Source organism: Homo sapiens, chromosome 19 (assembly GCF_000001405.40).
Source record: "Homo sapiens chromosome 19, GRCh38.p14 Primary Assembly".
NCBI lineage: Eukaryota > Metazoa > Chordata > Mammalia > Primates > Hominidae > Homo > Homo sapiens.
In genome coordinates, this window is record NC_000019.10 from 9,086,359 (window position 1) to 9,113,487 (window position 27,129).

The 27,129-nt window shown below is 45.4% G+C and overlaps 2 protein-coding genes across 2 annotated transcripts; one reads left to right on the top strand and one right to left on the bottom strand.

The window, feature by feature from the left end:
* Positions 1 to 702: 702 nt before the first annotated feature.
* Positions 703 to 9,311, top strand: OR1M1 (olfactory receptor family 1 subfamily M member 1). Its single transcript, NM_001004456.2, has 2 exons — positions 703 to 799; positions 6,874 to 9,311. Exon 2 carries the CDS (start codon positions 6,887 to 6,889, stop codon positions 7,826 to 7,828), a length of 942 nt encoding a protein of 313 aa, NP_001004456.1. The 5' UTR covers positions 703 to 799; positions 6,874 to 6,886; the 3' UTR covers positions 7,829 to 9,311.
* A 4,737-nt stretch (positions 9,312 to 14,048) lies between these two features.
* OR7G2 (olfactory receptor family 7 subfamily G member 2) lies at positions 14,049 to 21,117 on the bottom strand. Its single transcript, NM_001005193.2, has 2 exons — positions 20,956 to 21,117; positions 14,049 to 16,901 (listed from the first exon to the last, which is right to left on the bottom strand). Exon 2 carries the CDS (start codon positions 16,883 to 16,885, stop codon positions 15,911 to 15,913), a length of 975 nt encoding a protein of 324 aa, NP_001005193.2. The 5' UTR covers positions 16,886 to 16,901; positions 20,956 to 21,117; the 3' UTR covers positions 14,049 to 15,910.

The window sequence follows — 27,129 nt, forward strand, 5'->3', positions numbered from 1 at the left end:
TTTTTTTTGAGATGGAGTTTCGCTCTTGTTGCCCAGGCTGGAGTACAATGGTGCAATCTCGGCTCACCACAACCTCTGCCTCCTGGGTTCAAGCGATTCTTCTGCCTCAGCCTCCTGAGTAGCTGGGACTACAGGTGTGCACCACCATGCCAACTAATTTTTGTATTTTTAGTAGAGACAGTGTTTCACCATGTTGGCCAGGATTGTCTCAATCTCTTGACCTCATGATCCACCCGCCTCAGCCTCCCAAAGTGCTGGGATTACAGGCGTGAGCCATCACACCCGGCCATTTCTTAATTCTTTAAGTGATGAGGAACATTGGCTTCCAATAAGAATGGAACCTTCTGATATAAGAAGCCCTGGGCATTGGAAAGACTGAGTTTAGAAGACAGGGAGAGTTTGTTCCTGGAAGAGAGGGTGCAGAGAAAGTTAGGAATCATGCAACTTACCCCTAAGTTGCCTCATGAAGACATAAAATGCTTCTTACTGCCACGTCCCAGCCCCCATAGGAAACAGAACTATTCAGGGACTAGAGATGAAATTGGACAATTTGTGTAACAAGGAGCTTGGGGAATTGACTTCTTATTGGCCCAGAAATTGTAAATATTCCCTCGGTTCCTACAACTTATCCCCCACCCTAGCTTTTCTTCTTTGGACCAGGAGGACAACTTCCCAGTATTTCTATGTAGCATCTGCTGGCCCAAACATCTAACTTCATCATCTAGTACCTGCTGGGAGGACACTGAGCCAGTTTAACTCATGCCTGGGTGATGGTGTCAAGAAGAGGAAAGATAGCCCAGTGAGTGAGCTGAGAGAGAGAGAGAGAGAGAGAGACTGAACGAATGTTGGTAAAATTAATGAAGCCAAGCTCAATGATCTCAGATACACTGGAAGATTCTTTTTTATTATTTATTGATTTACTGATTTATTTATTTTAGAGACAGAACCTTGCTCTGTTATTCAGGCTGGAGTGCAGTGGCACAATCACAGCTCACTGCAGCTTCTACCTCCTGGGCTTAAGCAATCCTCCTGCCTCAGCCTCTAGAGTAGCTGGAACTACAGGCATGTGCCACCACACCCAGCTGATTTTTTGAACATTTTTCCCCCACCGAGATGGAGTTTTGCTCTTGTTGCCCAGGCTGGAGTGCAATGGCACGATCTTGGCTCACTGCAACCTCTGACTCCCAGGTTCGAGCAATTCTCCTACCTCAGCCTCCCGAGTAGCTGGGATTACAGGCATACACCACCATGCCTTGTGAATTTTGTATTTTTAGTAGAGACAAGGTTTCACCATGTTGGTCAGGCTGATCTCGAACACCTGACCTCAGGTGATCACCCGCCTCAGCCTCCGAAAGTACTGGAATTCACTGTGCTCGGCCGACACTGGAAGATTCTGTCTGGTCAATCAGCACCCACTTGTCAGCCCAGAATCCAATGGCTCTTCTTACCAAACTAGCTCAGCCTGGTTTAGTTGTGATGCTACCAGTCCTTTACCTAAAAACCATGATTATTTGTAGCACTGTTTTTCTTCGTAACTAGACTTTTTTTTTGAAATGGAGTCTTACTCTGTCACCCAGGCTGCAGTGCAGTGGCATGATCTTGGCTCACTGCAACCTCCATCTCTCAGGTTCAAGAGATTCTCCTGCCTCAGCCTCCCAAGTAGCTGGAATTACAGATGCCCGCCACCACACCCAGCTAATTTTTGTATTTTTAGTGGAGCTGGGGTTTCACCATAATGGCCACGCTGGTCTCCAACTCTTGACCTCAGGTGATCCACCCGCCTCAGCCTCCCAAAGTTCTGGTATTACAAGCATGAGCCACTGCGCCCAGCCTGGACTTTCTTTTCCAAGCCCACTTGAGTGCCTGAAGGAACAGATGGCTTCCTCCTCAGTACTTCTGTAGGCAGAAGTTTGTGTTATTCCCCATGTTGGGTCTTGGAAGCCCTTGGAGATTCCCAAGTATTCCAGGCTGAGAGATCTTAGACACAGAGTGCAGAGGTCCAGATAGGATAGGACTGGTGCTTCCTTGGAGAGAGGCTCATCAAGAAGCTTAAGGGATGAATCTTCGGGTTCCTGATACTTAAATTTTTCCCAAGAGCTGTGGAAGAATGAGGAGTGACAGAGTAATTCAGTGAAAGCTTAGGTGTCAGGGCAGGAGGATGTCTGAGATCAGTTCCTTGATTCCATTAGTAGTTTAATCACAGAGCATTCACTGGCTTCCTTGAGATGGAAAAATACTCTGACTCGGCCAGGCACGGTGGCTCACACCTGTAATCCCAGCACTTTGGAAGGCCGAGGCGGGCGGATCACCTGTGGTCAGGAGTTCAAGACCAGCCTGGCCAGCATGGTGAAACCCCATCTCTAGTAAACATACAAAAAAATTAGCCAGGTGTGGTGGTGGGTGCCTGTAATCCCAGCTACTCGGGAGGCTGAGGCCAGAGAACCATTTATATCCGGGAGGCAGAGGTTGCAGTGAGCTGAGATTGCACCATTGCACTCCTGCCTGAGCAACAAGAGCGAAACTCTGTCTCAAAAAAAAAAAAAATACTCTGACTCCTTTTAAAATGTTTTAATTGTATATATTTATGAGGTACATAGTAATGTTTCCATATATGTAATGTATAGTGATCAGATCTGGGTAATTAGCACATCTATTATCACAAACATTTATCATTTCTCTGTGTTGGGAACACTCAATATCCTCCTTCTAGCTGTTTAGCTATATAGCATATTATTGTTAACTGTATTCATCCTACAGGGATATAGAACACTAGAACTTATTCTTCCAATTTGCCTGTAGTTCTGTATGCTGTAACAAATCTCTTCCTATCTGCCCCCTCCCTCTACCCTTCCCAGACTCTAGTATCCTCTGTTCTTTTTACTTCTATGAAATCATTTTTTTTCTTTTAGCTTTCACATGTGAGTGAGAACATGCAGTGTTTAACTTTCTGTTCCTGGCTTATTTCATTTATAATATGCTCCAATTCTTTCCATGTTGCTGTAAATGACAAGATCTCCTTCATTTTTATGGCTGAATAGTTTTCCATTGTGTATTTCTACCACATTTTTTTTTTTTTTTTTTTGAGACAGAGTTTCGCTCTTGTCACCCCGGCTGGAGTGCAATGGCACAATCTCAGCTCACTGCAACCTCCGCCTCCTGGGTTCAAGCGATTCTCCTGCCTCAGCCTCCCAAGTAGCCAGGATTACAGGGGCCCACCACTACGCCCGGATAATTTTTTGTATTTTTAGTAGAGACGGGGTTTCACCATGTCGGCCAGGCTGGTCTCGAACTCCTGACCTCAGGCAATCCGCCTGTCTCAGCCTCCCAAAGTGCTGGGATTACAGGTGTGAGCCACTGTGCCCTGCCTAAAGCCAACACATTTTCCAAAAATCCCTGGCTGCCTCAACAGTTTTCGGAGTGCTCTTACAATCCTCAGGGGTGCTGTGTGTGGGGTGTGATTCTCTATTAATCCAAGCTCCTCATAATCTGATAAATGCTGCCTGGAGTTCATCTCCCTCACTAAACTGTGAATTCATGAATCCATGCGTGCTTCATGAATTACAGAGATTAAGAGTACATGCTCTAGATTTAGAATGCTTGGGCTAATCCAGCCACCTGCTCTCAGTTAAACCCCATTTGATTGTATTAATCTTCTGTGCTTCCATTTCTTCCTGCATGAAATAGCACTAACATTATTCTGTTGTCGTGAGTAGCAAATTAGCAGAGACCTTCGATCAGTGCCTGGCAATACAGGATAACCATCACTGATTCATGCGTATATGGAACAATTATGTTTATGTCTTCTGTATCCCAGACAAGATGCTGGTCACAAAAATGAACAAAGACAAACAATTCCTGATTTCAAATGTCTTGAGGACAGGGTCTGTGTATTTTCATATATTTGTCCCCACAACTCAGGCCAGATCCTGTCACTATATATTGCAATTACCAATAATTTTTTACAAAATGAATGAACGAATGCGTGAGTGAATAAAAGTGACATCTGCAAGGTGTTCATTAGAAATCACAAAAATAAAAAATAAAAATATAAAAGTAACATGATCAGAACTGTAATGCAGGAAGATTAATTTAGTGACTTCAGGATTGTTTCTTTTTTTTGAGATGGAGTTTCGCTCTTGCTGCCCAGGCAGGAGTGCAGTGGCGCAATCGGGGCTCACTGCAACCTCTGCCTCAGCCTCCTGAGTAGCTGGGTTTACAGGCATGCGCCACCATGCCCGGCTAATTTTGTATTTTTAGTAGAGACGGGTTTTCTCCATGTTGGTCAGGCTAGACTTGAACTCCCGACCTCAGGTGATCCGCCTGCCTCGGCCTCCCAAAGTGCTAGGATGACAGGCATGAGCCACCGCGCCCGGCCGACTTCAGGATTGTTTCAAAGGAAGATAATTGGATGCATGAGGCTAGCTTAAGATTAGTGAACTTGGCAACTCAGAAGTAATAAGAGCCTTTCATTTAGGGTGTCTGGAAAGAGGAGATGACTGGAAATGACTATAAAAATAAAAAGTTCAGGACGGGCGCGGTGGCTCATGCCTGTAATCCCAGCACTTTGAGAGGCCAAGGCGGGCAGATCACGAGGTCAGGAGATCAAGACCATCCTGGCTAACATGGTGAAACCCCGTCTCTACTAAAAAGTACAAAAAATTAGCCAGGCGTGGTGGTGGGCGCCTGTAGTCCCAGCTACTCGGGAGTCTGAGGCAGGAGAATGGCGTGAACCTGGGAGGCGGAGCTTGCAGTGAGCCGAGATCGTGCCACCGCACTCCAGCCCGAGTGACAGAGCGAGACTCTGTCTCAAAAAAAACAAATAGATAAAATAAAAAATGGAAAGTTCAGGCTGGGAGCAATGGTTTACACCCATAATCCCGGCACTTTGGGAGGCCAAGTGTGGGCGGATCACCTGATGTCAGGCGTTCGAGACCAGCCTGGCCAACAAGGTTAAACCCCATTTCTTTTTTTTTTTTTAAATAGTATTTGCACCACAGGTGCTATTGTTTATTTTAATTCCAATTAATCAAGAATTGCCACACATGCTAAGAATAAAGCTGTTGGATGTGAACTAAGGAGCACGTTGCTATTTTATTTTAGTGTCCAGATACTCAGCTGGGTTAAACCCCATTTCTACTAAAAATACAAAAGTGAGCTGGGCATGGTGGCGTGCTCCTGTAATCCCAGCTACTTGGGAGGGTGAGGCAGGAGAATTGCTTGAGCCTGGGAAGCAGAGATTACAGTGAGCCAAGATCGTGCCACTGCACTCCAGCCTAGGCAACAGAGCAAGACCCCGTCTCAAAAGGAAAAAAAAAAACAAAGGAAGGAAGTTCGACTTGTAGAGGATGTAACACTCATTGATGGATTGCCTTTGACGGTGGAGGTAGAAAGGAGGAAGACTGAAAATTTCAAACACAGGTATCTGGAAGGATGGTGATTCCATTCATGGACATAGTGGCTCCGGGAGAAAATAGACTTTATTTTTTTATATGTTGAGTTTGCCATGTCAGGAAGAAAGAAAAGAGGGAAAGAATGCTTTGTATAACCCTATTATTATTGTTGTTGTTATTGAGATGTAGTCTTGCTCTGTCACCAGGCTGGAGTACCGTGGTGTGATCTTGGCTCACTGCAACCTCTGCTCCAAGGGTCAAGCAATCTTCCCACCTCAGCCTCCCGAGTACTTGGAACTATAGGTGTCCACCATCATGCCTGGCTTTTTTTTTTTTTTTTTTTTTTTTTTTGGTAGAGAAGGGGTTTTGCCATGTTGCTCAGGCTGCTCTTGAACACCTGCATTCAAGCTCTCTGCCCACCTCGCCCTCCCAAAGTGCTGTGATTACAGATGGGACCCATCGTGCCTGGCCCTAACATTTTTTAATTAATCAAAAAAGAAGAAGAGTTGCTATAAATACTTCATCCATGGTTTAAAGTGCAACCTATATATAAGCTGTTGTCAGGCCAAGTGCGGTAGCTCACACCTGCAATTGTAGCACTTTGGAAGGCCTAGATGGGAGGATCACTCAAGCTCAGGAATTCAAGACCAGCCTGGACAACATAGCAAGATCCTGTCTCCACCACACACAAGAAAAGATAAATAAGCCAGGCTTACTTATGGTGTGTGCCTGTAGACCCCGCTACTAGAGAGGCTGTGGCAGGAGGCTGGCTTGAGCCCAGGAGTTCAAGGTTGCAATGAACTATGATTGCACCACTGCACTCCCTCCTGGGTGACACAGCAAGACCCTGTCTCTAAAAAATAATATCTTTAGCCTGGCGTGGTGGCTCACGCCTGTAATCCCAGCACTTTGGGAGGCCGAGGTGGGCGGATCACGAGGTCAGGAGTTCGAGACCAGCCTGGCCAATATGGTGAAACCCCATTTCTACTAAAAGTACAAAAAATTAGCCGGACGTGGTGGTGGGCACCTGTAGTCCCAGCTACTCATGAGGCTGAGGCAGGAGAATCACTTGAACCCAGGAGGCAGAGGTTGCAGTGAGCAGAGATTGCACGACTGTACTCCAACCTGGGTGACAAAGCAAGACTCTGTCTCAAAAATATATATATATGTATATATACATAATATGTAATAATATATATAATATTTCTATTTTAGAGACAGGGTCTCTAAAGTTACAACACCGTACATGTGTGGAATATATTTACATATATTCTCTCTCTCTCTCTCTCTATATATATATATATACACACACACATATATATTCTATATATACACACACACACACACACACACACACACACATATATATATATACACATCTGGTCTCATAATTAGCCCAAATGAGAACTGGGATGTGATCGCATCTAACTTTCCAAAACCATCTCCCTGTCATTCCTATAACCTCCCCTTTCCATACTTCCAGAGGAATCACACCCATGGAACCAAGAAACCAAACCAGTGCATCTCAATTCATCCTCCTGGGACTCTCAGAAAAGCCAGAGCAGGAGACGCTTCTCTTTTCCCTGTTCTTCTGCATGTACCTGGTCATGGTCGTGGGGAACCTGCTCATCATCCTGGCCATCAGCATAGACTCCCACCTCCACACCCCCATGTACTTCTTCCTGGCCAACCTGTCCCTGGTTGATTTCTGTCTGGCCACCAACACCATCCCTAAGATGCTGGTGAGCCTTCAAACCGGGAGCAAGGCCATCTCTTATCCCTGCTGCCTGATCCAGATGTACTTCTTCCATTTCTTTGGCATCGTGGACAGCGTCATAATCGCCATGATGGCTTATGACCGGTTCGTGGCCATCTGCCACCCATTGCACTACGCCAAGATCATGAGCCTACGCCTCTGTCGCCTGCTGGTCGGCGCCCTCTGGGCGTTTTCCTGCTTCATCTCACTCACTCACATCCTCCTGATGGCCCGTCTCGTTTTCTGCGGCAGCCATGAGGTGCCTCACTACTTCTGCGACCTCACTCCCATCCTCCGACTTTCGTGCACGGACACCTCTGTGAATAGGATCTTCATCCTCATTGTGGCAGGGATGGTGATAGCCACGCCCTTTGTCTGCATCCTGGCCTCCTATGCTCGCATCCTTGTGGCCATCATGAAGGTCCCCTCTGCAGGCGGCAGGAAGAAAGCCTTCTCCACCTGCAGCTCCCACCTGTCTGTGGTTGCTCTCTTCTATGGGACCACCATTGGCGTCTATCTGTGTCCCTCCTCGGTCCTCACCACTGTGAAGGAGAAAGCTTCTGCGGTGATGTACACAGCAGTCACCCCCATGCTGAATCCCTTCATCTACAGCTTGAGGAACAGAGACCTGAAAGGGGCTCTCAGGAAGCTGGTCAACAGAAAGATCACCTCATCTTCCTGACCACCAGGACTCAGGAACTTCTGGGGGGTAGAATATATACATCTGGGAGTCTTGGGCTAACATCTGGAATTGCATGAGTTGAAGAGTAGGCACTTTGAATTTTATTATTATTATTATTATTTAGAGATGGGGTCTCACTATGTTGCCCGTGCTGGAGTGCAGTGGCGTGATCATAGATCACTGCAGCTTCAAACTTCTCTCTCTGTGTGCATTGTTTTACTAGAGACAGGGTCTCACTAATTTGGCCAGGCTGGTCTGGAACTCCTGGGCTCAAGCAGTACTTCCCCCTCAGCCTCCTAACATCCTAGGATTACAGGTGTGAGCTACCACGCCGAGCCTCACTTTGAATTTTTTGTTTGTTTTTGTTTTTTGAGACAGAGTCTCGTTCTGTTGCCCAGGCTGGAGTGCAGTGGCATGATCACGGCTCATTGCAGCCTTGACCTCCCTGGCTGAAGCAATCCTCCCACCTCAGCCTTCCGAGTAGCTAGGACCATAGGCACATACCACCATGCTCAGCTAATTTTTGTATCTTTTGTACAGACAGGGTTTTGCCATACTACCCAGCCGCAGAAGTTTCACGGGAAGTCTCAGGATGGTCTGGTAACTGTTTTTCTTTTTGTTTTCTTTTTTGTTTTTGAGACAGAGTCTCATTCTGTCACCCAGGCTGGAGTGCAATGGCATGATCTCTGCTCACTGCAACCTCCGCCTCTGGGTTCAAGTGATCCTCCTGCCTCACCCTCCAGACTAGCTGGAACTACAGGCACCCATCACCATACCCGGCTAATTTTTGTATTTTTGGTGGAGACAGGGTTTTACCATGTGGGCCAGGCTGTTCTCGACCTCCTGACCTCAAATGATCCACCCACCTTGGCCTCCCAAAGTGCTGGGATTACAGGCGTGAGCCACCAAGCCTGGCTGGAAAGGCCATTTGAGGACACAGCGAAAGGGGGTCTATCTGCCACGGAAGAAAGACTTCACCAAAAACCAATCCCAACGGCACGTCGATCTTGGGCTTCTGACCCTCAGAACCATGAGACAATCCACTTCACTTATTTAGCCACGCAGTCTGCGGTGTTTTGTTATAACCAGCCCTGGCCGAATAACACAGTGACTGTGAGGGGAGGAGTCTTAGGAAGATGTCAACACGTGAAGGAGTGAAATGCCGCCATGTGGTTCTGTGGCTGGACCGACTCTGTCTCCAAACTCCGTTAGGAAAGATAATCATTCTGGGGCTCTGTTGCCCAGGCTGGAGTGCAGCGGCATGATTATAGCTCACTGCAGTCTTGACCTCCTGGGCTCAAGCAGTCCTCCCACCTCAGCCTCCCAAGTAGTTGGGACCAGAGGCATGCAGCACCATGCCCGGCTAATTTATTTTTATTTGTATATATTTTTTTGGTAGAGATGGGGTCTCACTATGTTGTCCAGGCTGCTCTCAAACTCCTGAGCTCAAGCCATCCTCCCATCTCAGCCTCTCAAAATGCTGGGATTACAGGTGTGAGCCACCACACCTGGCCAAAATTTTTTTTTTTTTTTTTTGAGACAGAGTCTCACTCTGTTGCCCAGGCTGGAGTGTAGTGGCACTATCTCAGCTCACTGCAACCTCCACCTCCTGGGTTCATGCAATTCTCCGCCTCAGCCTCCCCAGTAGCTGGGACTACAGGAGCGCACCACCACACCCAGCTAGTTTTTTTGTATTTTTAGTAGAGACGGGATTTCACCATGTTGGCCAGGCTGGTCTTGAACTCCTGACCTCAGGTGATCCACCTGCCTTGGCCTCCCAAAATGTTGGGATTACAGACATCAGCCACCACGCCTGGCCCAATCATTGTTTTTACCCCTTGTCTTTATATGAGTCACTAATAAAGCAGAAGTGTCCCGGGTGCTGTGGCTTACACCTGTAATCCCAGCACTTTGGGAGGCCAAGGCAGGCAGATCACCTGAGGTCAGGAGTTCAAGACCAGCCTGGCCAACATGGCAAAACCCCATCTCTACTAAAAATATAAAAATTAGTCAGGTGTGGTGGGGCGTGCCTGTAATCCCAGCTACTCGGGAGGCTGAGGCAGGAGAATCACTTGAACCTGGGAGGCGGAGGTTGCAGTGGGCCGAGATGGCACCACTGCAACCTGCACTTCAGCCTAAGGGATGGAGCGAGACTGTCTCAAAATAAATAAATAAATAAATAAATAAGTTGAAGTGTCTCAAGTTGATATAATGTGGATGTTTCTCTCCTCCAGATCTTATGTTGAAATGTGATCCCCAGTGTCGGAGGTGAGGCCTAGGCAGAGGTGTTTGATTATGGGGGCAGATTCATCATGAAGAATTTAGTGCCCTCCCCATAGTAATGAGGAAGTTCTTGCTCTACTACTTCACAAAGACCCTGGCACTCCTCCCCTCTCTCTCTTCCTCTCTCACCATTTGACTTGCCAGCTCCCCTTGCCCTTCCACCGTGATTGGAAGCTTCCTGAGGTCTGCACCAGAAGTAGATGATGGCACCACCCTTCTTGTACAGTCTGCAGAACTGTGAGACAAATAAACCTCTTTTCTTTATAAATTACCCAGACTCTAGGCTGGGCTCAGTGGCTCACGCCTATAATCCCAGCACTTTGGGAGGCTGAGGCAGGCAGATCACCTGAGGTCAGGAGCTCAAAAGCAGTCTGGCCAACATGGTGAAACCCTGTCTCTACCAAAAATACAAAAATTAGCTGGGCGTGGTGGCGCACTCCTGTAATCCCAGCTTCTGGAGAGGCTGAGGCAGGAGAATCACTTGAACCCAGGGGGCAGAGGTTGCAGTGAGCTGAGACTGCACCACTGCACTCCTGCCTGGGCGACAAGAGCGACACTCTGTCTCAAAATAAATAAATAAATAAATAACCCAGACTCAGGTATTCCTTGTAGCAACACAAACACTGATATAGAAGTCTTCCTAAATACGTAAATAAATATGATAATGCTAACTTAAAAAAATTTTTTTTTGAGAAGGAGTTTCACTGTGTCACCCAGGCTGGAGTGCAATGGCGCCATCTTGGCTCATTGCAACCTCCACCTCCCCGGTTCAAGTGATTCTCCTGCCTCAGCCTCCCGAGTAGCTGGGATTACAGGTGTGTGCCACCACGCCCAGCTACTTTTTTGTATTTTTAGTACAGACAGCATTTCACCATGTTGCCCAGGCTGGTCTCGCACTCCTGACCTCAGGTGATCCACCCGCCTCGGCCTCCCAAAGTGCTGGGATTGCAGGTGTGAGCCACTGCGCCTGGCCGATAATGCTAACTTTATAGGGGAGCAAATAGAGCTTGGAACAGTGAAATAAAGTGTCAACAATTATACGGTTATTTACAAAGCACAGGTGGGATTCAAAGCCAGTTGGTCTGATTCCAAATTCTCACCCTTAACCATGATGATCTTCTCTTGTATTTGAAGACCTTAATCAGGTTTTCCGGATCATTCATTATGAATTTCTCTTTTGTATATTTCACAGCTTAAAGTCCGAAGTAGCTGGCATGTTAGTGGAATGATGACACTCTAGAAATGGGTTTCTGAGAGGTGAGATCCACAGGGAGAAAAGGCCGGTGCAGTGGCTCATGCCTGTAATCCTGGCACTTTGGAAGCTGAGGCGAGTGGACTGCACGAGCTCAGGAGTTTGAGACTACCCTGTGCAACATAGTGAAACCCCCTCTCTACAAAAAATACAAAAATTAGCCAGATGTGGTGGTGTGAACCTGTAGTCTCAGCTACTCCAGAGGCTGAGGTGAGAGGATGCGTCACCTGAGCCTGGGGTGGTTGAGGCTGCAGTGAGCCATGATCACACCACTGCACTCTAGCCTGGGCAACAGAGTGAGATCCTGCTAAAAAAAAACAAAACAAAAAAACAACAACAAAAAAAAAACACACACACACATAAATTGCCTAGTAGGAAACTCTCATCCTTGTTTATTTTATTTATTTATTTATTTATTTATTTTGAGACAAAGTCTTGCTCTGTCGCCAGGCTGGAGTGCAGTGGCAAGATCTCAGCTCACTGCAACCTCCGCTTCCCAGGTTCAAGCGATTCTCCTGCCTCAGCCTCCGGAGTAGCTGGGACTACAGGTATGTGCCACCATGCCCGGCTAATTTTTGTATTTTTAATAGAGACAGGGTTTCACCATGTTGGCCAGGCTGGTCTTGAGCTCCTGACCTCAGGTGATCCGCCTGCCTCAGCCTCCCAAAGTGCTGGGATTTCAGGCATGAGCCACAGCGCCCGGCCTCATCTTCCTTCTGTACTGGATTCAACACCTCTTTCTCTACATACCTTTAAAGGTGTCCTCACTTTAGCAAACAATATCAGAAAGATTAATACTACATTTCAGCTTAAAAATAAAATTAATTCATAAGGATGTGTGTATTTTTAAAAATTTTACATTCCTGCATAAGAATATGTGGTATTACTTTCTCTTGCATTCAAATTGTCTCTTTCATTCTGAGAATGCCACCAGATGATGAAAAGCATGACAACTTTTTTTTTTTTAGATGGAGTCTTGCTGTGTTGCCCAGGCTGGAGTGCAGTGGTATGATCTTAGCTCATTGCAAACCTCCGTCTCCCGGGTTCAAACGATTCTTCTGCCTCAGCCTCCCAGCCTGGGTGAGAGTAAGACCCTTCTCAAAAAAAAATAAAAAAGGAAACAACAATCAGGGCACAAAATTCGTTCATGAAGTTTCAACTTTTACAATGTCAAAAAGAATAAAATTTGATTAATAAATTGTCTAGGGCTATAAACAACATGCATATTAAAAGGACAGATTTGTAGGGCAAAAATGTACAAGACTGTCAATCAAATACTAATTAATAAAAAAATCACTAATCAAATACAGCATCAATAAAATTCCTGTCTCCATGGTTACATTACTTCTTCCTTTTCTTTGTGTTTCCTCCACTTCTGTCTTTTTTTTTCTTTTTTTTTTTTTTTTGTTTGAGACTGAATCTCACTCTGTTGCCCAGGCTGGAGTGCAATGGTGCAATCATAGCTCACTGCAGTCTCCAACTCCTGGGCTCAAGCGATCCTCCCATTTCAGCCTCTCAAGTAATTGGGACTACAGGTACACACCACTGTGCCAAGCTAATTTTTAAAATTTTTTGTAACAGGGTCTGATTTTGTTGCCCAGCTGGGTTCAAACTCCTGGCCTCAAGCAATTCTCTTGCCTCAGCCTCCCAACGTGTTGGAATTACAAGGATGAACCACTGCGCCTGGCCTCCACCTCTGCCTATCTTATAAGAAAACATGTGGTTACATTTAGAGCCTGCCCAGGTAATCCAGGGTAAGCTGCTTCTCTGCAAAGACCCTTTTCCCAAATAAGTCACATTCACCCTTTTGTCATATGATTTAAGGCCAGGTGCGGTGGCTCACGTCTGTAATCCCAGCATTTTGGGAGGCTGAGGCAATTGTATCACTTGAGTCCAGAAGTTCAAGACCAGCCTGGCCAACATGGCAAAAACCCATCTCTACTAAAAATATAAAAATTAGCAGGCTGTGGTGGCAGGCACCTGTAATCCCAGCTACTCAGGAGGCAGAGGAAGGAGGATCTCTTGAACCCGGGAAGCGGAGGTTGCAGTGAGCCGAGATCACGCCACTGCACTCCAGCCTGGGCGACAGGGCAAGACTCCAGCTCAGATAGATAGATAAATAAATAAATAAATAAATAAATAAATAAATAAATAAAAGCTCAGATTCACAAGCGAGAGGATTAAAATGTGGATATAGTCTTCTGAGGGCCATGAGCCAACTCATGACAGAAATGTCTTCTGGTTGACTCCATGAAAGTTATCTATTATCAATGGACCCAGGGAAGGGTTCTCCATTTTCTGTCTCTGGGAATCAGGTCTAGATATGTCTCTTGCATTGACTGCAACTACCTGTTGCAGTCAGAGGAAAACCAGTGCTGGGGGGAGGGAACCTCGTGAAGGACTGAATGAAGCCCTCTCCTATTCGTGCACATTCCTTAATTCTGAGGTCCTTGTAATGAAAGAGAACTGTCTTTACTGTTTGAGCATATTAGAGTTAGGGGTGCTATTTATTTATTTATTTATTTATTTATTTTTTGAGTCTTGCTCTGTCTCCCAGGCTGGAGTGCAGTGGTGCAATCTCGGCTCACTGCAACCTCCGCCTCGCGGGCTCAAGCAATTCTCCTGCCTCAGCCTCCCGAGTAGCTGGGATTACAGGCTCCAGCTACCACACATGGCTAACTTTTGTATTTTTAGTAGAGATGGGGTTTCACCACGTGGGCCAGGCCAGTTTTGAACTCCTGACCTCAAGTGATCCACCCACCTTGGCCTCCCAAAGTGCTGGGATTACAGGTGTGAGCCACTGTGCCCAGCCCAGGGCTCCTATTCTTTAAACTGGAACCTAAGGTATCCTCACTTATGAAGTTCAAATATCTCACAATAATCTCAAATCACTAAGATAATCTAATCATGCTAATTTTTTGATGATAAAACTGAGTATAATAGATGCTAATGTTGTCTAGGGAGAATATAGTTTACCAGTGACTGGTCCCAGTAGTTACTAAATTGGGTATGAAAACTTAGCTCCCTTGACCCACTGTAGGTCTACACTGGGGTGCAATTGACAAGACCCTAAATACGCAATAAGGTGGAAGCTTGTCTCCAGATATAACAACAACCTCGCTTAAATCCTTTTCCTGGCAGCGCACAGTGACTTCACCACTAATCTCAGATCTTTGGGAGGCCATGGCAGGAGGATCACTTGAACCTAGGTTTTGAGACCAACCTGGGCAACATAGCCAGAGTCCATCTCTACACCACACCCCACACTGGACGTGGTGGTGCATGCCTGGAGTCCTAGCTTCCTAGGAGGCTGAGGTAGGAGGGTCCCTGGAGTTTGAGCCCTGGAGTCCTGGAGTTTGGGGCTGCAGGGAGCTATGATCATGTCATTGCATTCCAGCCTAGGTGACAAAGCAAGACCCTGTCTATGGAAAAAAAGAAACAAAAAACAAAACTGCCCAGCTACTTGGGAGCCTGAGGTAGGAGAATCGCTTGAACCCAGAAGGCGGAGGTTGCAGTTAGCCGAGATTGCGCCATTGCACTCCAGCCTGGTGGACAGAGCAAGACTCCGTCTCAGCAAAACAAAAAACAAAAAACCTAAACTAAACAAAAAACCAAAAATACATTTTCCTGACCTATCCTCCTGAACTATCTACCTTCCACAACTTTTCTTCTTCTGAGACTAATCCATTAAAAAAAAATCACTTAGCCAGGAGCGGTGGCTCACGCCTCTAATCCCAGTAATCCCAGAACTTTGGGAGGCCGAGGCGAATGGATCACAAGGTCAGGAGATCGAGACCACCCTGGCCAGCATGATGAAACCTCACCTCTACTAAAAGTACAAAAATTAGCCGGGTGTGGTGTCGTGCACCTGTAGTCCCAGCTACTCAGTAGGCTGAGGCGGGAGAATCGCTTGAACCTGGGAGGCAGAGATTACAGTGAGCCGAGATCACACCACTGCACTCCAGCCTGGCCGACAGAGCGAGACTCTGTCTCTAAATAAATAAATAAATAACTTGGGCTCAGCCTCTGAGTCTATGGCCTGAGCAAAGAAATTGAGTCTAGAGAATTAAAATCACATGTCCATCATCACAGATCCAGACATAAAAAGCAAAGTCAGATTTCAAGCCGGAGTGGAAATGTAGTTGGCTTTTATGTCATCTAGACATTTTAGAAGAACTTGGTGATGAAAGAGTCAGGCAGGCTGGGCGCATTGTCTCACGCCTGTAATCCCAGCACTTTGGGAGGCCGAGGCGGGTGGATCACCTGACGTCAGGAGTTTGAGACCAGCCTGGCCAACATGGTGAAACTCTATCTCTACTAAAAATACAAAAATTAGCCAGGCATGGTGGCAGGCGCCTGTAATCCCCACTACTCAGGAGGCTGAGGCAGGAGGATGGCTTGAACCCGGAGGCGGAAGTTGCAGTGAGCCGAGGTCGTGCCATTGCACTCCAGCCTGGGAGACAGAGAAAGACTCCATCTCAGAGAAAAAAACAAAACAAAACAAAGAGTCAGGCATTCTAGCTCACCAGGAATCCTGTCACTTTGACTTACTCTAGAAACCTGAATCCAAAGCAAATGGCACACCACAGAAGAGAAGGTATCCTCCCTATGAACTTCCTCAAGGTTCCTTTCATGTCCTTATTCCTCAGACTATAGATAAAGGGGTTCACCATTTGAGGGAACACAGAATACATCACTGAAGCCACTGCAGTCTTCCTAGGTGAGTCAGTAACCACAGAACTAATGTACACCCCCAAACCTGCCCCATAGAACAAGAGAACAATGGAGAGGTGAGACCCACAGGTGGAAACTGCTTTGTGCTTTCCACTTGCTGATGGCATTCTCAAAACACAGGAGGTGATCTGAGTGTAAGACAAAATGATTCCAGACAGAGGAACACCACCAAATATGCAAGCTGCAAAATATATCAGGATGTTATTGATGAGGGTGTCTGAACAGGTGAGTTGGATGACCTGAGCCAGTTCACAGAAGAAGAGCGGGATTTCCAGGTCTGTGCAGAAGGACAGCCTCAACACCATCAGGCTGAGAAGAAGGGCATTCACAACACTAGTCAACAGAGAGAGAAGAATCAGCAGGCCACAGAGGCGGGGGTTCATGATGACTGTGTATCTAAGGGGGTGACAAATGGCCACATAGCGGTCATAGGCCATTGCTGCAAGGAGACAATTTTCCAAGCCAGCAAAAAACAAGACAAAGCAGATCTGGGTGAGGCAGCCTGAGTACGTGATGCTCCGATTCTGAGCTTGGATGTTCACCAGCATCTTTGGGATCGTGGTTGTGCTTAAACAAATGTCCAAAAAGGAGAGATTGGAGAGGAAGAAGTACATGGGGGTGTGGAGGTGAGAGTCAGAGATGACAGCCAAGAGGATGAGCAGGTTCCCCAGGATGGTGACCAAGTACATGGACAGGAACAGGCTGAAAAGGACGGGCTGCAGTTCCGGATCCTCTATCAGTCCCAGGAGAAGGAATTTTGAAATAGCTGTTTGGTTTCTCGCTTCCATGCTGTTGATGATGAATCTGATGGAAAAGATAATAAAATCTGTAAGCAGCAGCTGCATCGGCATCACTCGAGAACATGACAGAAACGCAAAATCTTGCTCCCCTCCCCAGACTTCTTGCTGATAAACTCTGGGGATGAGAACCGACAGTTTATTCTTTCACAAGCCTTGTAGATGTTTTTGATAGATGCTGAATTTTGAGAAACAGTTCAAAACATTTACTTAGGAATGGAGTTTTCTTAATCAAAAAATGTGGAAATCTTTTTTTTTTTTTTTTTTTTTTTGAGACAGGGTCTCACTCTGTCCACCAGGCTGGAATGCAGTGGTGTAATCTTAGCTTATTGCAAGCTCCACCTCCATGTTCAAGTGATTCTCTGGCCTCAGCCTCCCAAGTAGCTGTGGTTACAGGTGCACACCACCATTCCTGGCTAATTTTGTGTGTGTGTGTGTGTGTTTTTAGTAGAGACGGCGGGGGTGGGGGTCTCACCATGTTGGTCAGGCTGATCTCGAACTCCTGACCTCAAGTGATCCACCTGCCTCAGCCTCCCAAAGTGCTGGGATTACAGGCTTGAGCCACCATGCCTGGCCCAGGAGTGGAGTTTTCTTAATCAAAAAATGTGGAAATGTTTTTTTTTTTTTTTTTTCGGGAGATAGGGTCTCACTCTGTCGCCCAGGCTGGAGTGCAGTGGTGTGATCTTAGCTCACTGCAAGCTCCACCTCCCAGGTTCAAGTGAGTCTCCTTCCTCAGCCTCTCAAGTAGCTAGGGTTACAGGTGCACAGCACCATATTTGGCTAATTAAAAAAAAATTTTTTTTTTCGTATGTTTAGTAGAGACAGGGTCTCACCATGTAGGTCAGGCTGGTCTCGAACTCCTGACTTCAAGTGATCCGCCTGCCTCAGGCTCCCGAAGTCCTGGGATTACAGGTGTGAGCCATCACGCTCGGCCAAAGAATGTGGAAATCTTTTATCTTTATTCTTTCTGCTGTTCCCTTACCCATGGCAGACACTTCTAGTCTAGTCTAGTGCTCTTTCCTGCTAAGACCACATGTACCTTTGGGATTCTTATCAGCATAGAGCTCCAAACAGCGCTAGAGATAGACAGAAAGTCAGAGTTAGCATGCTAAATATTACCTATTTGTCATCTTTCACATGTGATTTTCTAAGACAATCATCCAATTTTCAATGTTACCCAAAACAAATGAATATAGAAACATACTGCAACATTGCTAACATTTTGTCAGTTTGTGTCATTCTTAAACTTTTAAAAATGATAAAACTTGACATTTAAAAAATTTTAAAATTCTTGGTGGGGCGTGGTGGCTCATGCTTGTAATCCCAGCACTTTGGGAGGCCGAGGCGGGCAGATCACGGGGTCAGGCAATCGAGACCATCCTGGCTAACACGGTGAAACCCCATGTCTACTAAAAATACAAAAAATTATCGGGGCGTGGTGGTGGGCGCCTGTGGTCCCAGCTACTCGGGAGGCTGAGGCAGGAGAATGGCGTGAACCCAGGAGGCAGAGCTTGCAGTGAGCCGAGATCGCGCCACTGCACTCCAGCCTGGGCAACAGAGCGAGACTCCATCTCAAAAAACAAACAAACAAATTTTTAAATTCTCTAGTGTGCACTGTGAACCCAAGTGAATATTCAAATCCTTCCCCTTGCTTACTTTCTTCCTACATTTCTTTTCTCTCTCCTCCTGTTCCCTCCATTTTCTTTTCTTTTTTTCTTTTTCTTTTTCTTTTTTTCGAGATGGAGTCTTGCTCTGTCACCCAGGTTAGAATACAGTGGCGCGATCTCGGCTCCCTGCAACCTCCGCCTCCCGGGTTCAAGCTATTTTCCTGCCTCGTCCTCCAAAGTAGCTGGGATTACAGGCGCCAGCCACCGCACCCGGCTAATTTTTGTATTTTTAGTAGAGACGGGTTTCACTATCTTAGCCAGACTGGTCTGGAACTCCTGACCTTGTGATCCACCTGCCTCGGCCTCCCAAAGTGCTGGGATTACAGGTGTGAGCCACTGCGCCTGGCCTCTCCATTTTCTTTATTGAAACAAATTATTATAAGACACTAACTCAATTTCATTTCTTCTTCTACGTGCTGAGAATAAAACAAGGTATAAAACATGATTATCCACATCAAAAAACTTATCCACCACTATCAAATAGACTTTAATCCCTCTGATGCAAGATTGGTTCAACATACAGAAATCAATAAATGTGATTCATCACATAAAAAGAACTAAACCCAAAAACCACATTATTATCTCAATAGATGCAAAAAAGGCTTTTAATAAAATTCAACATTGCTTTATGTTAAAAACCCTCAACAGGCTGTGCGTGGTGGTTCACGCCTGTAATCCCAGCACTTTGGGAGGCTAAGGCAGGCGGATCATGAGGTCAGGAGTTCGAGACCAGCCTAGCCAACATGGTGAAACCCCATGTCTATTAAAATTACAAATATTAGCCAGGCATGGTGGCATGCACCTGCAATCCCAGCTACTTGGGAGGCTGAGGCAGGAGAATCTCTTGAACCCAGGAAATGGAGGTTGCAGTGTGCCAAGATTGTGCCATTGCACTCCAGCCTGGGTGACAGAGTGACACTCTGTCTTAAAAAAAAAAAAAGTTTAGCTTGTTTTTTAACAACTGATGTATGATTCACAAAAAAAAGAGAGAAGGGAAGAGAAAGAGAGAGAAAAAGAAAAGGAGAAAGAAAGGAAGAAAGGAAGAAAATTTTTGTATGATAAACAGTGTACAGTGTGAGAAAAATTCTAAACGTTTTTGAACCTGCACAGATATATTCATTTTTATTATAGATTATTCATGTGTGAATTATTCAGAAAGTACGGAGAATAATGAAGGGCTGGCTACCCATCAGTCAACGATATAAGATTCACACAAGGCCAGGCGTGGTGGCTCAAGCCTATAATCCCAGCACTTTGGGAGGCTGAGGCAGGTGGATCACCTGAGATCAAGAGTTTGAGATCAGCCTGGCCAATATGGCGAAACCCCGTCTTTACTACAAATACAAAAAAATTAGCTGGGTGTGGTGGTGTGGTGCACGCCTGTAACCCCAGCTACTTGGGAGGCTGAGGCAGGAGAATCGCTTGCACCTGAGAGGCAGAGGTTGCAGTAAGCCGAGATCGTGCCACTGCACTCCAGCCTGGGTGACAGAGGGAGACTGTGTCTCAAAAAAAAAAAAAAAAATTCACACAATTCACCATCCTTGATTAGATATTTTTATTGCAAAAAGTAAAAAATATTTTTATTGCAATAAAGTGTGTATTTGAGGCTGGGCATGGTGGCTCATGCCTGTAATCCCAGCATTTTGGGAGGCTGAGGCAGGTGGATCATCTGAGGTCAGGAGTTCAAGACCAGCTGACCAATATGGTGAAACTCCGTCTCTACAGGAGAATCGCTTGAACCTGGGAGGCGGAGGTTGCAGTGAGCCGAGATCATGCCACTGCACTCCAGCCTGGGTGACAGAGCAAGATTCCATCTCAAAAAAAAAAAAAAAAAAGTGCATATTTCAAAACCACCGCTTCATGTTTTTGATTTTTTTTCCCTTCCCTAGGGGAACCAGTACACACACTTGATCTATATTATTCTTCTATACCTTTCATTATATTTGATATTATTCTTCCAAATAATAACAATGGCATTGTGTTGCATTTTAAAAGCTTTATATAGCCAGGCACTGTGGCTCACATCTATAATCCGGGTCCTTTGGGAGGCTGAGGCGGGAGTACAAGAGGCCAGGAGTGTAAGACCAGCCTGGGCAACGTAGTGAGAACCTGTGTCTACAAAAAAAATTTAAAAATTTGCAAAGTGTAATGGCATGCACCTGTAGTCCCAGTTACTCAGTAGGCTGAGGCTGAAGGATTGGTTGATCCAGGAATTCAAGACTGCAGTGAGCTATGATCGAGTCACCACACTCCTTCCAGGCAACAGAGTGAGACCTTGTCTCTAAAAAAACCCCAAAAAACAAAACCACCTGCCCTCATTTCCAAAGCATTAATTAACTAAAGGACTTTGGGTTAACTGATTGGCTTCAACAAAAATGATGCTCAACAACTCACATGGATATTGCAGAGGATGATCTATCCTCAGGAAGTGCAGACAGACTCGAGTCCTGGTCAAAAATATCATGTCTGGAAGGAGGTTCTGATGCAGCTTCCGAGCTGGGTAAGAGATGTTCAGTGAGGTGCTTACAGCCTGACTTGTTGCACTGTCTATATCCCTGGGACCTCAATATCCAACGCTCCTCATTACACTGGCTATTTTACCATCGTTCTGATCCCAGGAGTGCACATCCTTAAAGACCAAGACTAGAGGAGTGAGGAATTCGGGATGGCTGAGTCCCTGTCCCCTGAGGCCACGTGTACACCATCCATATCTCTCCATTGTTTCTGCTCACCTCCACTTCACGAATCTTGCTCCCAGAACACATACCATTCGTCTAGTAAAAAAAAGGATTTTGATCTGAAGAATGTGAGTTCTCTTCATTGTCAGACCCGGAAAGACATTAAAATGAGACAGAAACCACACCCCTCCTCCCCTCCTTTGAACTATGCATTCATCTCATAAAACTGCTTGCTGTTGCCACAAGTAGCTATAAATTAACCTAATAATAGCATATGAATTAAAAAGAAATTATTTAGGCAGTTAGTGAGGGTACAGAAGTCCTGGGTAAGGTTTTTCTTTTTAATAAAAAGCAGCCCCCAAATCATTTCTTTTCAGGCAAAAAGTAGCCTGAAAAATCAAGCTGCAAGCATAGGTAAGCAAGCTGAAAGCCTGCGTAGGTGAATGCCAGCAGCTGTGCCAGAAGACAGGTATAACCAACATGAAGGTTTTCTTTTTTCTTCTTTCTTTCTTTCTTATTCTTTTTTTTTTTTTTTTTTTTTTTTTTTTGAGACAGTCTCACTCTATCACCCAGGCCGGAATGCAGTGGCGCCATCTCAGCTCACTGCAACCTCTGCCTCTGGGTTCAAGTGATTCTTGTGCCTCAGCCTCCAGAGTAGCTGGGATTACAGGCGAGTGCCACCACACCTGGCTAATTTTTGTATTTTTAGTAGAGATGAGATTTGATGCTGGGCGTGGTGGCTTATGCATGTAATCCCAGCACTTTGGGAGGCTGAGGTGGGTGGATAACCTGAGGTCAGGAGTTTGAGACCAGCCTGGCCAATATGGTGAAACCTTGTCTGTACTAAAAATACAAAAATTAGCCAGGCGTGGTGACAGGCACCTGTAGTCCCAGCTACTCGGGAGGCTGAGGCAGGAGAATCGCTTGAACCCAGGAGGTGGAGGTTGCAGTGAGCTGAGATCGTGTCCCTACACTCCAGCCTGGGTGACAGAGCAAGACTCCATCTCAAAAAAAAAAACAAAAACAAAAACAAAAAACCCTTAACCTGTAAGCCATCTGCAAGTTTGGGTCTTACATGTAAACTAGCTGGGCACAGTGGCTCACGCCTGTAATCCCAGCACTTTGGGAGGCTGAGGCAGGCGGATCACGAGGTCAAGAGTTCAAGACCACAATGACCAACATGGTGAAACTCCGTCTCTACTAAAAATACAAAAATTAGCCAGCCGAGGTGGCGCACACCTGTAATCCCAGCTATTCAGGAGGCTGAGACAGGAGAATCGCTTGAACCCAGAAGGCAGAGGTTGCAGTGAGCTCAGATTGTGCCACTACACTCCAGCCTGGGCGACAGAGCAAGACTCCATCTTAAAAAAAAAAAATGTGTAAGCTGCCCCAATTTTCCTTGCTTCGTTACCTGTCTTTTAAGGTTCTTCAATCTCTGACCACACAGGTAGTATCTGGCAAGCAACAGTATTCAACCTGAGATTTCAAGATGTTATGTCCATTATGCCAGTAATAATAATCTGTGTTCCCCCAGTTGATCTGTCAATCTAAAATAATCAAAAGGGTCAGAATCTAGTTTGTTTTATTATTTTTAGAGACAGGATCTGGCTCTGTTGCCCCGGCTGGAGTGCAGTGGTGCAATCATAGCTCACTGCAGCCTCAACTTCTTGAGCCCAAGCGATCCTCCCACTTCAGCCTCCCATGTAGCTGGGACTACAGATGTGCACCAACACGTCTGAGTAATTTTTTATTTTTTTTTTCAGAGAGATGGGGGTCTCTCTATGTTGCCCAAGCTGGCTTTGAACTCCTGGGCTCAAGCGATTTTCCCACCTCGGCCTCTCAAAGTGCTGGTATTACAAGAGCCACCACACCCAGCCAGAATCTAGTCTAAAGACAGTTTATTCAAGCACGATGTCTGAGACAAGTCACCAGGGAAGCACAGCTTCCAAAGAAGGGAAGTGAGTGTTTCAAGGTGCAAAAGTTTGAGATTGTTTATGTAGGCAAAATTCAGGGAAGTTTAACAGAATTTCTTTTTTCTATTTTTTTTTTTTTTTTTTTTGAGACACAGTCTTGCTCTGTTGCCCAGGGCTGGAGTGCAGTGGTGTGATCTCAGCTCACTGCAGCCTCCGCCTTCCAGGTTCAAGTGATTCTCGTGCCTCAGCCTCCTGAGTAGCTGGGATTACAGGCACCTGCCACCACGTCCGGCTAATTTTTGTATTTTTAGTAGAGATGGGGTTTTGCCATGTTGGTCAGGCTGGTCTCAAACTCCTGACCTCAAGTGATCCACCTGCCTCTGCCTCCTAAAGCCCTGGGATTACAGGTGTGAACTACTGCATGAAGCCCAGTTTAACAGAATTTCAACATCTTTAAGGCTTAATGCATAGTTACAATATTTGGTATTATTCTTCTAAACAGTAACAATTGCATTGTGTTGCATTTTAATGCAACTGATTAGTCTGGGTGGTTTTTTCTTTTAGGGAAGGTGTATTTAACATTTTACAATGATGACATAACAGTCGTGGGGTCCTGTGTACCATCTGGTCTGAGTTAGGTACAGGACAGTAAAGGAGGCAGTTAATCTATAACAAAGGTCAGTGACTGGAAGCAGGGAGATCTGGTCTCTGGTCTCTCCCAGTGCTTTATAGAACAAGAACCACAAAGAAGAGCCATTATGGAAAACAGTATAGAGGTTCCTCAGAAAACTAAAAATGGAATTACGATGTGATCCACTAATCCCACCATGGAGAATGTCTCCAAATGACTGAAACTAGGATTCACGACAGAAAAATCAACTGGACACAGAACAAGGCAGTAATCGAGGAAACAGAAAACTGAAACGTATAAAACACATAGAACACAGCAATGGCAGAATTAAGTCTCTCCTAATCAGCAATCATGTTAAAAAATAAAAGGATTGGCCGGGTGCGGTTGCTCACACCTGCAATCCCAGCACTTTGGGAGATTGAAGTGGGTGAATCATAAGGTCAGGAGATCGAGACCAATCTGGCTAACATGATGAAACCCCGTCTCTACTAAAAATACAAAAATTAGCCAGGCGTGGTGGCATGCACCTGTAATCCCAGCTACTCGGGAAGCTGAGGCAGGAGAATTGCTTGAACCCTGGAGGCCGAGGTTGCAGTGAGCTGAGATCACACCACTGCACTCCAGCCTGGGTGATAGAATGAGACTAAAAAAAAAAAAAAAAAGATAAAGGATTAAACTATCCAAACAAAAGGCAGTATTTGTCAGCATAAATACTAAAAATTGATTCAACTATATTTAGAAGAGACTTGTTTTAGACTCGAGACAAAACAGGGTAACAGTAAGAGTATGGATAGACAGATGTATTTCATGCAAATAGTATGCAGATGACAGCTGCGGAGGCTGCACTAATATCAGAAGACAGAATAAAGTCAAAACCATTAAATCAGTCAAAGGAGGACATATATATACATATACTCTTCCTGCTTTTTTGTGGTTATGAAATAAGCGATGTCACTACCTTGCTAACTTTTCTTTTCTCCTGTCTTATTTCACACTCAATATCTTCTTCTCTAACTAAAGTACTTCTCCATGGTAGAACTGTCCTTGTAAAGAAACATTCGAAAGGTTTTCATGACAGCCCCAAGGCAGCAGTGAGTCCTCTAACACGGCAATGATAGAATTACTTTTATTCAATGATGATTCTTTTTCTTTCTTTCTTTCTTTCTTTCTTTCTTTCTTTCTTTCTTTCTTCCTTTCTTTCCTTCTTTCTTTCCTTCTTTCTTTCTTCCTTTCTTTCTTTCCTTTTCTTTCTTTCTCTCTCTCTTTCTTTCTTTCTTGTCTTTTTTTTTTTTTAATTTATTTTTTGAGACGGAGTCTCGCTCTGTTGCCAGGTTGGAGTGCAGTGGCACTATCTTGGCTCACCACAACCTCAGCTTCCCGAGCAGCTGGGACCACAAGGTGCCCGCTACCATGCCCAGCTAATTTTTAAATTTTTAGTAGAGATGGGGTTTCACCATGTTGGCCAGGCTGATCTCGATCTCCTGACCTCAGGTGATCCCCCTGCCTTGGCCTCTCAAAGTGCTGGGATTACAGGCGTGAGTCACCGTGCCCAGCCAAGTAAGATTTTTCTTTTGGTCTCCAAAGGAGATGGGTTAGAATCATAGCAAGGGAAGATGACTGAGGGGGAAAGCGAGAACTTAGATAACATTCTTACAAATAAATCAATGGGACTGTTCTAAACCAAGTAAGATGTCAAAAAAAGATGATCAACCTTTGTCCTTCCTACCTAATAATTATTTATTTTATTCTACAATTCAGGTTTAATAAGTGGATGATAAATGCAACAAGGGGAACAATTCTAATTTCTAAAACAAGAGGGAAAAATATGTGAGAACAATAGCATTATAGGATTTATGATTATAGACTGGTTATGGAACACAATGATTCCACATTATTATACTGAATACTTAGGAGGTGCTGGGCATTGAATTAAGTGTTTGTAGTGCTTATCAGAGTGGAGTTCCCAGCCGGGTGTGGTGGCTCACGCCTGTAATCCCAGCACTTTGGGAAGCAGAGGTGGGCAGATCACCTGTGGCCAGGAGTTCGAGACCAGCTTGGCCAACTTGGGGAAACCCCATCTCTACTAAAAAAAAAAAAAAGAACAAAAATTAGCTGGGCATGGTGGCGCATGCCTGTAATCCCAGCTACTCAGGAGGCTGAAGCAGGAGAATCTCTTGAACCAGGGAGGCGGAAGTTGCAGTGAGCCTAGATTGCACCTTTGCACTCCTGCCCAGGTGACAGGCTCCATCTCAAAAACAAACAAAAAAACAAACAACCAAAAAAACCACCAAAAAACACCAGAGTGGACTTCCCAATAGGAATTATACTTTATATGGTCAGTCTAAGGCTCTCATACTAATCATTTCCCCCTCACCAGGAATTAGATTAAGAAAAAATATATGATCTATCTCTCTGTGGTGAGATTAAAGGTGATATCTTTTGGATTACTCTATGCAATCCCATTTATCAATAGATCTGGGAAGAAGAGTCAGATTTCTGTCTCTGGGCATCATGTCTGGGTATTACGTCTGTATTTGCTACAGCCATCTGGGTCCATGAGGGGAACCAGCCCTAAAAGAAAGCCACAGCCGGGCACGGTGGCTCACGCCTGTAATCCCAGCACTTTAGGAGGCTGAGGTGGGCAAATCACTTGAGGTCCGGAGTTCAAGAGCACCCTGGCCAACACGGTGAAACCCCATCTCTACTGAAAATGCAAAACTTAGCCAGGTGTGGTGGTGTGCACCTGTAATCCCAGCTACTTGGGAGGCTGAGGCAGGAGAATCACTTGAACCCAGGAGGCAGAGGTTGCAGTGAGCTGAGATTGTGCCACTGCACTTCAGCCTGGGTGACAGAGCCAGGCTGTCTAAAAAAAAAAGAAAGCCAAAAGAAGAAGGAGTAAGTGAATTATTCTCTACATTCCCTACCTCTGATATATTTGCAAAGAAATGTAGCTCTCTTTATTATTTGAGTATATTATAATCAACATTTCTTTCACTAAAGCCGACTTCTTCACTGATCAAGATAGAATATCTCACCACTAGGCCGGGCACAGTGGCTCACACCTGTAATCCTAGCACTTTTGGGAGGCTGAGGTGGGCGGATCCAAAGGTCAGGAGTTTGAGACTAGCCTCGCTAATACGGCAAAACCCCATCTCTACTAAAAATACAAAGATTAGCCAGGTGTGGTGGCAGCTGTCTGTAGTCCCAGCTACTGAGGAGGCTGAGGCAGGAGAATAGCTTGAATCTGGGAGGTGGAGTTTGCAGTGAGCTAAGATTGCACCGCTGCACTCCAGCCTGGGTGACAAGAGCGAGACTCTGTCTCTCAAAAAAAAAAAAAAAAAAAGAA